General features: G+C 36.0%; 2 long non-coding RNA genes across 2 annotated transcripts in view; both read left to right on the forward strand.

Moving 5' to 3' along the window:
* Window positions 1-12,735, forward strand: part of LOC124900404 (uncharacterized) — a 228,127-nt gene that overhangs the window by 152,985 nt on the left and 62,407 nt on the right. The window lies entirely within an intron of this gene.
* The window catches only part of LINC01776 (long intergenic non-protein coding RNA 1776), a 61,948-nt gene continuing 52,560 nt past the window's right edge, over window positions 3,348-12,735 (forward strand). The window contains exon 1 of the long non-coding RNA NR_046088.1: window positions 3,348-3,447. This is a non-coding gene — a long non-coding RNA (long intergenic non-protein coding RNA 1776). The remainder of the gene's footprint in view (window positions 3,448-12,735) is intronic.

The following is a 12,735-nucleotide window of genomic DNA, read 5'->3' on the forward strand; positions in this document are numbered from 1 at the left end:
TAATTTTAAAATCTACTTTCAATTAAGAAAACCTTGTAATTCTAAAAAGTGGTTATGTTCCAAAGAAGTGCTGAAATGTCAACTGAATACAAGTCCACTTTATGTCTGGCAGGAACTGTTCAGTTGTCGTGTGGCTTAGCATTGAAAAGCTCGCTCCAAAGTGCTACTGACAGGCCTGGTCTAGTGTGGCATTTAATATTTCCCTTTATACATTTCCCCATGGTGTCAGAACAATCTCCAGTAATCAAAAGAGGTGAAAAGAGCTAGAATAAAATATTCGTTAAATCTAAACATACACAATTGACGTGTTCAAGAAAATGTGCATAAGGAGTGTATTATTGATTTTAACAATGAAGATCATTTATGATTCTGGAAACAAGGTAGCTTTTGAGAATATGACAATTATCTCCTTTATGTTGCCAAAACTCTATATAGATGGATTAGTTTTATGAAGAAAAGGAGTCTTTAAAGCAGCACACCTTTTTGAAAGTTAATCTAGTAGGACTCTGTCATTGAAGAATCAAGTCCAAGTTTCATGGAAAATTTCCTTTATGTTTTAAAATTTAATTTATGTTGAAATTAGTGCAGGTAGTTGACATAGAAATGAGTTGAATTATTTACACAGAGTACTTGGAGATCCTACTTGGTACATAAAAGGCTTGAAATCTATCAGCTCATCATTTACTGGACAGTTGCTGACTCTAGATGTTTACAGGCATAAGATTAATCAGAATTTCTTTAAAACGAAAAGTTTCCTCAAAAAATCTGAAAACAGAGGTGTCATATAATCTAGCAATTCCACTTCTAGGTATCTCCCCAACAGAAAGGAAATCAGTGTATTGAAGAGATATCTGCACTCCCTTGTTTGTTGAATCACTGTTCACAATAGCTAAGATTTGGAAGCAACCTGCGTCCATCAGCAGATGAATGGATAAAGAAAATGTGGTACTCATACACAATAGAGTACTATTCAGACATAAAAAGAATGAGATCCTATCATTTGCAGCAACATGGATGGAACGGAGATCATTATGTAAAGTGAAGTAAGCCAGGCATAGAAAGACAAACATCACATGTTCTCACTTATTTGTGGGATCTAAAACTCAAAACAAACTCTTGGACATAGAGAGTAGAAGTATGATTATCAGAGGCTGGGAAAGGTAGTGCATTCGAGGGTGGGGGTGGGGTATACAGAGGAGATTAGGATGATTTATGGGCACACAAAACAATGGACCGAAAGAATGAAAAAGACCTACTATTTGATAGCACAACAGAGTGACTATGGTCAATAATAATTGTACATTTTAAAACAACTAAATGAGGGTAATCAGACTGTTTATAATAAAAAGGATAAATACTTGAGGGAATGAATGCCCCATTCTCTATTATTTGATTATTACACATTGCATGCCTGTATCAAAACATCTTATGTATCCTATAAATATATATATCTACTATGTGCCCACAAAATTAAAAATAAAACAAAAATAATATAATCTTTAATCATTTAACATATAAAAGGTAAGGTCATGTCTATGCTAAAATGAAAGAAAGAGCAAATTTGTGGTAAATTGTATAGCTTTTGTTCTCCTGGCAATGTTTATTCTATAACTGGGTCTTTCTTTTTTGTATTTTTAAAGTAAGCATTTAATCAAAAACATTTAGTCAAAACATCATGTTTTTGTTTGTTTATTTGTAAGAAATTATATTTCAACATATGTAGGTTAAAAATGTGTTAGTTTGGTTTATTTTCTTTGTTATTTTATCTCCTTTTTTTTTTCTTTCAGATCATCACTCAGCCTTGGTGAATTGTTTTGATTAGAGAGAGAGAGGTCTTTGAGATGGTTTGCAGTGAGAGCGTCATGGTTTGTGCAGGCAGGCAGTATTCTTTTTGTCTTTTTATTGGGCCAAGGACATCTACAGATTTTATCAATAGGTGCATAAAAATTTGTAGATGGGGGTGGAACAAAGTTTCATTCTCTCCATAGACACAGCACCAAAATTATCAAATTGAACACATTTCTACTTGAGAAGGCTCAAGATTTGTCCTTAGCCTGAATTGTGCATGTTCTTCCTTTTAATATGCATTTTTTTAAATGCCAGGGGAAATTTAAGCGGTGTTTATTAAAGCAGAAATGTATTGATGACATGTGTTGGAGGTTTTATTTCAATCCCCCGAGTTCTGCAATGAACAGATCTGTTTTACACTCAGCCCAGGCAGCCTGATTTACCCACTGGCCCTTCTGTTGGATACCTGGTGATTTTATTTTTCATCCGTGATATGGTTCGGTTGCCCCCATTAAAAAACATATGTTTAATTGAAACTTTTAAAGAAAATTTGAGAAAATCTTATTTAAAGAAGTTTATCACACATTATAAAGAACTTTTTGAGACAGAAAATATTTTAAGAGGAAAAAAAGCCTTAATTTTCTAACTGTTTGTAGTGATGCTCAGTGACATTGCTTTGATATAGAGGAGTATGATAAGGGCTGTTAGCTGATTTTCTGAGATCAACCCATTTTAATGTACTTGTCCAATAATTAACTCAATACTAGATGAAAGCAGTCTTCCAAATTCCAACATTAAGTTTTAATACCAAGCCAGGTATGAGGCATTCAAACTCATTGCAGCAAACAGGTTTCTAAGTGTGGCTTTTTCTTTCATGCAGAGAAGGGACTGATTAGTTTCCCAAACCATAAAAATTGTTTTCTTTCTTTTTCTTTTTCTTTTTTTTTTTTTTTTGAGGGGGGCGGGGTGCGGTTCTGAAACTGATTTCTTGGTTGTCTCCATTACTCACAAATCCGCTTGCCATATTTGGTAGCAAAGGCAGGGGCTAAACTTATCTTAGCTGTTGCCCACAATTTATGAAGAGATAATCCAGTTCATAGGAAATGAGGTACTTCAAGTATTTGAGGAATGGCAAGTATTTCTTTGTCAGCATTGATTCAGCTTCAAATACGTCTCCTACTGATCTCTGGACTACCGCTCTACGCCGCATTGATCCATGCAGGAATAATTGTAAAGAGTTTCCAGGATTTCTTTTACTATCAGAAAAACAACACCCTGGAATCACTTTGCCTGTGGTTTATAGTGAAAACAGCCGTCTGAGCATTTTGAGCCAATAGCTTTGGATAAGGTGTGTAATTTGTTTGGTGCTAAGTTCTGTGACATGAAAAGTAAATTACAATTGGGAAGGATAGTGGGAAGAGGGATACCATTATTAAAGAAAAAGAAGAAAAGAAAAAAATATTGTTTCAGCAGCAAGGATTTTTGAGGTTTAATTCTTCTCCCCACTCCAAATTTGCTGGCTTGAGGCTACTCATCGCTTCATTGCCACCCATAAAAGCACATGGATTTTAAGCTGATGAAAAAGATGGACATGGATTATGCCTTTTCCTCTGCCAATGCTATGAGAATACCTTGGTTCACTAGAAGAAATGCTGACAGGTAAAAATGAATAGAATATCATAATTTTTATTCAAATAGGATAGCAAATGCTTGTAAAATATTCCTAAAATTGTGCATAACCTTTGATTCAGATAAATCGCTTTTAAGAATATAGAAATAATCATGTGTTTGAGCCCGGAGTTTGCTGCCTAACCATGGCACATTAACATAGGTAAAATTAGGAACAACTTGAATGTCCAAGTGTGGTCTGAATGAATATATTGAGGTATACACTAGTAAAAATGTAAGTAGGTGGACTCATACCTTCGCAGCAATGATACACTCTTGTAGGCATTGAAAATGTGTTGATACTAATCTAGATACTGAGCATAAAGAATTAAGGAAGAAAAACAAGGTCTATGATCGTATTGAATTTATATTATGTATGGAAGAATTGATAGTGACAGAAAAGTACATTTAACATATATTTTTAAGATAAAAATTAGGTGGCTAAACCTGGGTTTCCCAGGAAGCAAATCTAATGGCAGATGGCTTATGTACTATTGCTTTATTAGCAAGTGCCATCCCAGGAAAGAGAAGTGACAGAGCAGGGGAGTAAGGCAGGGAAGAAAGGGAGAGCCAACAGGAGGAGAAGGCATTATTGATATTGATAGTGATATTGGTCACTGCTGAGTTAAACTGATTGCTGGTTAAGTGAGGCTGAGCCCTCCTCAAGTAGCCATGTAAAGCATCTCTCTAGACTCTGTAGAGTAAGGGTTGGGAGCAGAAAGGGGGAAGAATGTGTCCATTGGCTTCTATATCTATTGGTCATTTTTTTCCCTCTGGGGTGTTAATTCTTCCACACTTCCAGGTTATTCATGTGTGGACAGGCACTGAGTAGATGCATCTGTGGGCATCCCCAAGGCATTTCAGGTATGCATGTTTGAAGTAGGTCAAAGCCCACCCAGGAGATGCCTGGGTGTTTGATGCATGTAGAACACTGATTGAGTAGGTTACGAAATATATGATTACTATGATTCCGTTTTTGATGTAGAAATACTTAAAATGTTAACAATGATTATAGTTGGGTTTTTGGAATATGGTTTGTGTTTGTGTTCTTTTTGTCTTTGCATTTTTTTCTTGCAATGAACATGGATTGGTTTTGCAGTAAGAAAAAAACTAAAAACTTATATTTTTAAAATGGAAATTTGTCATTCTTCATATTTCACAAATTATGATTTTTCTCCAATGTTATTTACTTAAAATTTTTCATTCTTCTTATTTCACAAATTATGTTTTTTTTTTTACTATTATTATTACACTTTAAGTTTTAGGGTACATGTGCACAATATGCAGGTTAGTTACATATGTATACATGTGCCATGCTGGTGTGCTGCACCCATTAACTCGTCATTTAGCGTTAGGTATATCTCCTAATGCTATCCCTCCCCCCTCTCCCCACCCCACAACAGTCCCCAGAGTGTGATGTTCCCCTTCGTGTGTCCATGTGTTCTCATTGTTCAATTCCCACCTATGAGTGAGAACATGCGGTGTTTGTTTTTTTGTCCTTGCGATAGTTTACTGAGAATGATGATTTCCAATTTCATCCATGTCCCTACAAAGGACATGAACTCATCATTTTTATGGCTGCATAGTATTCCATGGTGTATACGTGCCACATTTTCTTAATCCAGTCTATCATTGTTGGACATTTGGGTTGGTTCCAAGTCTTTGCTATTGTGAATAGTGCCGCAATAAACATACGTGTGCGTGTGTCTTTATAGCAGCATGATTTATAGTCTTTTTGGTATATACCCAGTAATGGAATCCTGGGTCAAATGGTATTTCTAGTTCTAGATCCCTGAGGAATCACCACACTGACTTCCACAGTGGTTGAACTAGTTTACAGTCCCACCAACAGTGTAAAAGTGTTCCTATTTCTCCACATCCTCTCCAGCACCTGTTGTTTCCTGACTTTTTAATGATTGCCATTCTAACTGGTGTGAGGTGGTATCTCATTGTGGTTTTGATTTGCATTTCTCTGATGGCCAGTGATGGTGAGCATTTTTTCATGTGTTTTTTGGCTGCATAAATGTCTTCTTTTGAGAAGTGTCTGTTCATATCCTTTACCCACTTTTTGATGGGGTTGTTTGTTTTTTCTTGTAAATTTGTTTGAGTTCATTGTAGATTCTGGATATTAGCCCTTTGTCAGATGAGTAGGTTGCAAAAATTTTCTCCCATTTTGTGGGTTGCCTGTTCACTCTGATGGTAGTTTCTTTTGCTGTGCAGAAGCTCTTTAGTTTAATTAGATCCCATTTGTCAATTTTGTCTTTTGTTGCCATTGCTTTTGGTGTTTTAGACATGAAGTCCTTGCCCATGCTTATGTCCTGAATGGTAATGCCTAGATTTTCTTCTAGGGTTTTTATGGTTTTAGGTCTAACGTTTAAGTCTTTAATCCATCTTGAATGAATTTTTGTATAAGGTAGAAGGAAGGGATCCAGTTTCAGCTTTCTCCATATGGCTAGCCAGTTTTCCCAGCACCATTTATTAAATAGGGAATCCTTTCCCCATTTCTTGTTTTTGTCAGGTTTGTCAAAGATCAGATAGTTGTAGGTATGCGGCATTATTTCTTAGGGCTCTGTTCTGTTCCATTGATCTATATCTCTGTTTTGGTACCAGTACCATGCTGTTTTGGTTACTGTAGCCTTGTAGTATAGTTTGAAGTCAGGTAGCGTGATGCCTCCAGCTTTGTTCTTTTGGCTTAGGATTGACTTGGTGATGCGGGCTCTTTTTTGGTTCCATATGAACTTTAAAGTAGTTTTTTCCAATTCTGTGAAGAAAGTCATTGGTAGCTTGATGGGGATGGCATTGAATCTATAAATTACCTTGGGCAGTATGGCCATTTTCACGATATTGATTCTTCCTAACCATGAGCATGGAATGTTCTTCCATTTCTTTGTATCCTCTTTTATTTCCTTGAGCAGTGGTTTGTAGTTCTCCTTGAAGAGGTCCTTCACGTCCCTTGTAAGTTGGATTCCTAGGTATTTTATTCTCTTTGAAGCAATTGTGAATGGGAGTTCACTCAGGATTTGGCTCTCTGTTTGTCTGTTATTGGTGTATAAGAATGCTTGTGATTTTTGTACATTGATTTTGTGTCCTGAGGCTTTGCTGAAGTTGCTTATCAGCTTAAGGAGATTTTGGGCTGAGATAATGGGGTTTTCTAGATATACAATCATGTCGTCTGCAAACAGGGACAATTTGGCTTCCTCTTTTCCTAATTGAATACCCTTTATTTCCTTCTCCTGCCTAATTACCCTGGCTGGGACTTCCAACACTATGTTGAATAGGAGTGGTGAGAGAGGGCATCCCTGTCTTGTGCCAGTTTTCAAAGGGAATGCTTCCAGTTTTTGCCCATTCAGTATGATATTGGCTGTGGGTTTGTCATAGATAGCTCTTATTATTTTGAGATATATCCCATCAATACCTAATTTATTGAGAGTTTTTAGCATGAAGGGTTGTTGAATTTTGTCAAAGGCCTTTTCTGCATCTATTGAGATAATCATGTGATTTTTGTCTTTGGTTCTGTTTATATGCTGGCTTACATTTATTGATTTGTGTATATTGAACCAGCCTTGCATCCCAGGGATGAAGCCCACTTGATCATAGTGGATAAGCTTTTTGATGTGCTGCTGGATTCGGTTTGCCAGTATTTTATTGAGGATTTTTGCATTGGTGTTCATCAAGGATATTGGTCTAAAATTCTCTTTTTCGATTGTGTCTCTGCCTGGCTTTGGTATCAGGATGATGCTGGCCTCATAAAATGAGTTAGTGAGGATTCCCTCTTTTTCTATTGATTGGAATAGTTTCAGAAGGAATGGTACCAGTTCCTCCTTGTACCTCTGGTAGAATTTGGCTGTGAATCCATCTGGTCCTGGACTTTTTTTGGTTGGTAAGCTATTGATTATTGCCACAATTTCAGCTCCTGTTATTGGTCTATTCAGAGGTTCAACTTCTTCCTGGTTTAGTCTTGGGAGGGTGTATGTGTCGAGGAATGTATCCATTTCTTCTAGATTTTCTAGTTTATTTGCGTAGAGGTGTTTGTAGTATTCTCTGATGGTAGTTTGTATTTCTGTGGGATCGGTGGTGATATCCCCTTTATCATTTTTTATTGCGTCTATTTGATTCTTCTCTCTTTTCTTCTTTATTAGTCTTGCTAGCAGTCTATCAGTTTTGTTGATCCTTTCAAAAAACCAGCTCCTGGATTCATTAATTTTTCAATGTTAATTATTTACTTAAGTTCAGCCTAATTTATCCAAGTATCTTTTTTTTTTTTTTTTTTTTGCGACAGGGTCTCGCTGTCACCCAGGCTGTAGTGCAGTAATGTGATGGCGGCTCACTGCAACCCGCCTCCCGGGTTCAAGCAATTCTGCTGCCTTGGCCTCCGAGTAGCTGGAACGACAGGCATGCACCACAACACCTGACTAATTCTTGTATTTTTAGTCGAGATGTGGTTTCATCATGTTGGCTAGACTTGGTCTTAAACTCCTGGCCTCATGTGACCCACCCACCTCAGCCTCCCAAAGTGCTGGGACTACAGGCTTGAGCCACCGTGCACGGCCTCAAATATCTTACTTAATAATGTAGGAGAAGATGATCAACCCCAGCAAATAATCAAGCTGCCAAATTAATTACTAGCTTTCTGTAATCTGTATATGCTATATCGTATGCTCCTAGCATTCAGGGACACATCCTATGATGATGACATCATTAACATTATAGGATATGTCCCTGAATGCTAGGAGCATACGATATAGCATATTAGAGGGTAAAGAAACATTTTCTACGGATATATCTGAAGTATGAAGGAGAGATGGAGAATACGGGCGCTGGGATGCAATTTTAGACAGGGTGGTCAAAGAATGTTTCATCGAGAGGTTGACGTTGGAGAAAGAAGTGAGGGAAGTGAGGGAGTGCTGTAGAGATAACTTAGGAGAAGAATATTTGGAGAGAGAGAAAAACAAGTGCAGATCCTGGAAATGGGAATGTGCCTGGCATGTTCAAGGAGCAACAAGGAAGCTGGAGTGGTGAAGCTGAGTGAGAGAATAGTGGAATCACAATGCTTTACATAGTAGGTGCTCAATAAACATTAGTAGAATTGCAGTCAGCAGAGTTTTGAAATTGAGAAGCTCGTACCTTATATGTTATGTTTCTTCATAGGTTTAAGTTTTAGTACAATGTCTGGCAGAGAGTAGATTTGTGGAATTAATAAATTTCTCTCATCTTTGTATTCTCCAAATTGTTAATTTATATTTTAGAACTATCTTACAATTTTACAGTCTCTTATTACTTGCTATACTTTATTTGATTTCATTGACCAACAATAAGCTTGGAGAGGGCAAGGCTGTGTGTATCTTGTTCAATAGCATAGTCCCAGCCTGGCAATACAACTTTTGAGAGAATAACTTGCTACCTTTCTAATGGGAATTGCCAGAACAAGTAAGTTCAAGGTATAAATCAGATAATAAGCAAGAAATTAAGTTCACTTTTTAAAAGTTGACCCCATCACTGGCCTTGTAAGCAGAAGTGTTCTGAAGTAAATTGGGGGTAGGAGGGGAAAACCATGTGAAGATTGTCTAGATGACAGCATGATGGAAGGAAGCATCCCCAAATAAGTTATGCAGATACGCTGAGCTGGCAACAGTGGCCAATTTGCAGGAAAGTAGATGATGCTCTTTCTTCACTTGGGTGTGTTTCACTCAAGTATGTAGAATAAAAATAAACACATTTTTAAAGGAACACGGCGTGGCAGCCTGATTTTCTTCCATATTCATACTCTGTGCCTTGAGGCTTTCGAATGAATTGTTCCTTTTAATCTGGATATTTTCCTCACTTTCTCTCCTTGTGCCAGCTAACCTACTCCGTTTTCAGGTTTCAGACAAATGCCATTTCCACTGAGAGGCCTTGCCTGTCTCCAAGGCTAGTTCAGGTCTGCCTTTTTATATGATCTCTTAGCACCCTGATTTCTCTAAGAGAACTTTTAACGATCTTGTAATTAAATACCAATTAGGAAATTACCTGTTCTGCTTCTGCCTTCCCTGTAGGAACCTAGTGTCTGCAGGACAGAGGCTATGTCTGTCTTGGTCATTTCCCTGTCTCCAGGGCTTCAGAGGTGTTTGAAATATATAATGCACTAAAGTTTATAGAGATTAAAATTTTTGTTAGATAAGCATAATTGTAACAAAAGTAAGAGAAAAGATTCAGTACCAGCTACATTTCTATAGTCTTAATCGAAAGATATAAAGTGAACAGGTAATTCAGAAATAAAGTGTTCATAAGTGGGAAGAAAACAAGTTAAATCTCTAGCCGCTGGAAGTACTTAATATCACCTAGTATCTTATTAATACTCTGTCATGCAGATATGATGGAATTAACTTACCTTGCAAAAATAATGAAAATCTGTCATATATCAGCTTCTCTTTCAAGTTATGCTCTGATGCCAACCATGTGTCTCTTTTTAAAGATTGTAATTCTTTATTTTTTATATTGGTTCAGCACAAAGTTATAACAAACTACAGAATCCTGCTACAATTACCACACATGGCATAATTTCTAATTATACAGAACTAATGTACAAACTCTCTGTATTAATAATAAAGCGATTAACCTAAAATACCAAATTGGTGTGAGTTTCTTATTTTCTCATTACCACAGCCTGTTCTCAGTTTGAGCTATTGTACATTGTACTTTATAAATGTTAGCTCCAGATGAAGTTTATTTTTACATCAATCACAATAGCCCTAACACTCATCACCTTCAGTTTTCTCACCTTTCCCCTTTGCCAGATGTGCATGTGCGTGTATGTGAAAGGTGATATCTGTAATAGGAGTTCATTATAAATCAGATGAATTTATGGACAATTAGGAATGCTAGAGACATAATATTATACTATCATAGCCCTCTGAATTTACTTTGCTTCCTTTTTTAATATCAATAGATCTTGTAAGAGACACTTCCATTGTGTCTGACACTTCTGATGCTATGGTGTCAATGGAAGTATGTGTGAAAACCATTACCTTGTCAATTTCGTGATGTCAATGGCAACTTGATGTCAATGAAAATGTATAAGGTTCTTCCATTATCATTGTAACAGCTTCTCTAGTCTTTTCAATGTATCAAGAGACACTAGTCTGTAAGAAAGACTAACTACCTGAAATTGCTGCCTGCATTTCTTGAAATTAAAGCTATGATACTATATTACTTTCTTCTTACAGTTTAGCATTAGCAAAAATATATAGGAACACCAATAACACCAATAAATAAAATAATAAGCAGTTATTTTGTGGCTAAGAATGTAAATAGCTCACAGTTTTGAATTTTTAGAATTCAAATGACTGGTGCACATAACTGGGAAAACTTTTGTTTATAAATGGAAGTAATGAAGAGAACTTTAGTTGTAGACAATATATTATGTTGAACATACACTATGAAACACAAAAGCAGGAAGGTCACTGGAAGTAATTACTTTACCTAGTATTATCCCCATCAAAAGCAGCAATGCTCCTGTTGTGACATTGAACTGTTTCATATAGTGATTTCCTAGGAAGAGAGTAATAATCATGATGTATCACTAATCTTAGGCAAATAACACTTAGGTCCTTATGTAATAAAATAAGTATGGATTGCATTATGCAATTCACACAGTTCGTGTTTCCTTCCCATATGGAGAGTGTGGTTTAACAAGGCTCACTTGCTTTGTTTATGACTCTTTAAGCATAAATTTTGGCCCAATTTACTTGGCAAATATTGAGTATTTTAAAAAGTACTCAAATGTATGCTTTTGCCAGGCAAAATAGTTTCTCCTCCCGTGTGTGTCTGTCTCTCTGTTTTTTTTTTCTCAAATATTGTGGCATCATTTGCTTTAGGTACTTATCATTGGAGATGATAGAATTGGTGCATATGCTTATAAAATATTAGGAAGTTGATTATTTTCAGCAGTTTACTTATTAGTTCTTTGACATATAGAATTTTTAGAATGAGAAGAAATTTGAAAAAATTTAGAAATACATATAATGTGTATGTGTGTGTATATGTGTGTGTGTGTGTGTGTGTGTGCATACTTTCAGCTTCAAAGACCTAACATTGTAAGGGTGTATAAAATACGTTCATAGGTAGATTACACATATTCCAATACATATGCTTTAATTTTTTTTAAAAAAGTTATGTATCCTGAAATATTGAGAGACTACTGAAGAGAATTATGTTATTTGAGCTATCTTAAAGGAAACACTGAATTTTCTAGGTGGAGAATGTGTGGAATGCCATTCCTGAATTGCATGGATGAAATGAATTGATAAATAAAAAATGTTACGGATATACGTGTATATGTATTTGTGTGTATATGTATATAATCACATAACCATGATTTGACTTGGTTCATAGCCCATAAAACACACATCTCACTTTTAATTTGAGGCTTAAATATGTTATGTTAATATTATGTAAACCTAAACTTACCATTTTCCCCTAATCCTTTGATGATCATTATTTCTGGCATTTCAGTGTTTGCACAAAGGACAGAAAGTAATTAAAACTTTCAGACTTCAGACGAATTCGTGTGCTACTTGTGAGCAATTCTGATGAAAATTTGAAGAGAGAAAGTTGAACTCATTGAATAAGAGAAGAGTTTTTAAAATTATCTGTGGATTTCAATTAATTATGCAGATATCCTGACTCCTTATTTGTGGAATAATCACATTTTAAAGCAGATTCTGTCTCTCTTTCTCTCTCTCTCTCTCTCTCTCTCTCTGTGTGTGTGTGTGTAAGCATATTGAAGATTATGAAAACTTTTAAAAATGCTATTTTCTATTATATAATAAAAGAGGATACCATTAAAAACAAAATCATCAAGCTTAATAGACCCTTTCCAAGGTGGAATCCCTGTCAGTTAATTCTGATGGATATGTAATGTACTTCTTTATTTTCACCCAAACACAAGGTTAGGAAGTAGGAAGAGAGGGGCTAAGGAACAGGGAGGATGAACATGTGTGTGCATCTGTCTCTCTCATCTCTCTCTATATATCTATCTGTCTATCTATCTATCTATCTATCTATCTATCTATCTATCTATCATCTATCTACCTACCTATCTTTTACCTATCCATAATCAGATTCACCTGGGAGCTTGTTAGAAATGCAGAATCTTATGTATAGACGGCACACATACGAGAGAGTGCATGTGCTATAGATATCTCTACCTATCAAGAGAGGGAGGGAGAAACTTTTAAAACACAAGAGAGGAGAGAGGAGAAAAAGAAGCTGTTGTTACCTGGAGGAAATAAAATTAAATAT

The sequence above is a fragment of the Homo sapiens genome, chromosome 1 (genome assembly GCF_000001405.40).
Source record: "Homo sapiens chromosome 1, GRCh38.p14 Primary Assembly".
Taxonomy (NCBI): Eukaryota; Metazoa; Chordata; class Mammalia; order Primates; family Hominidae; genus Homo; species Homo sapiens.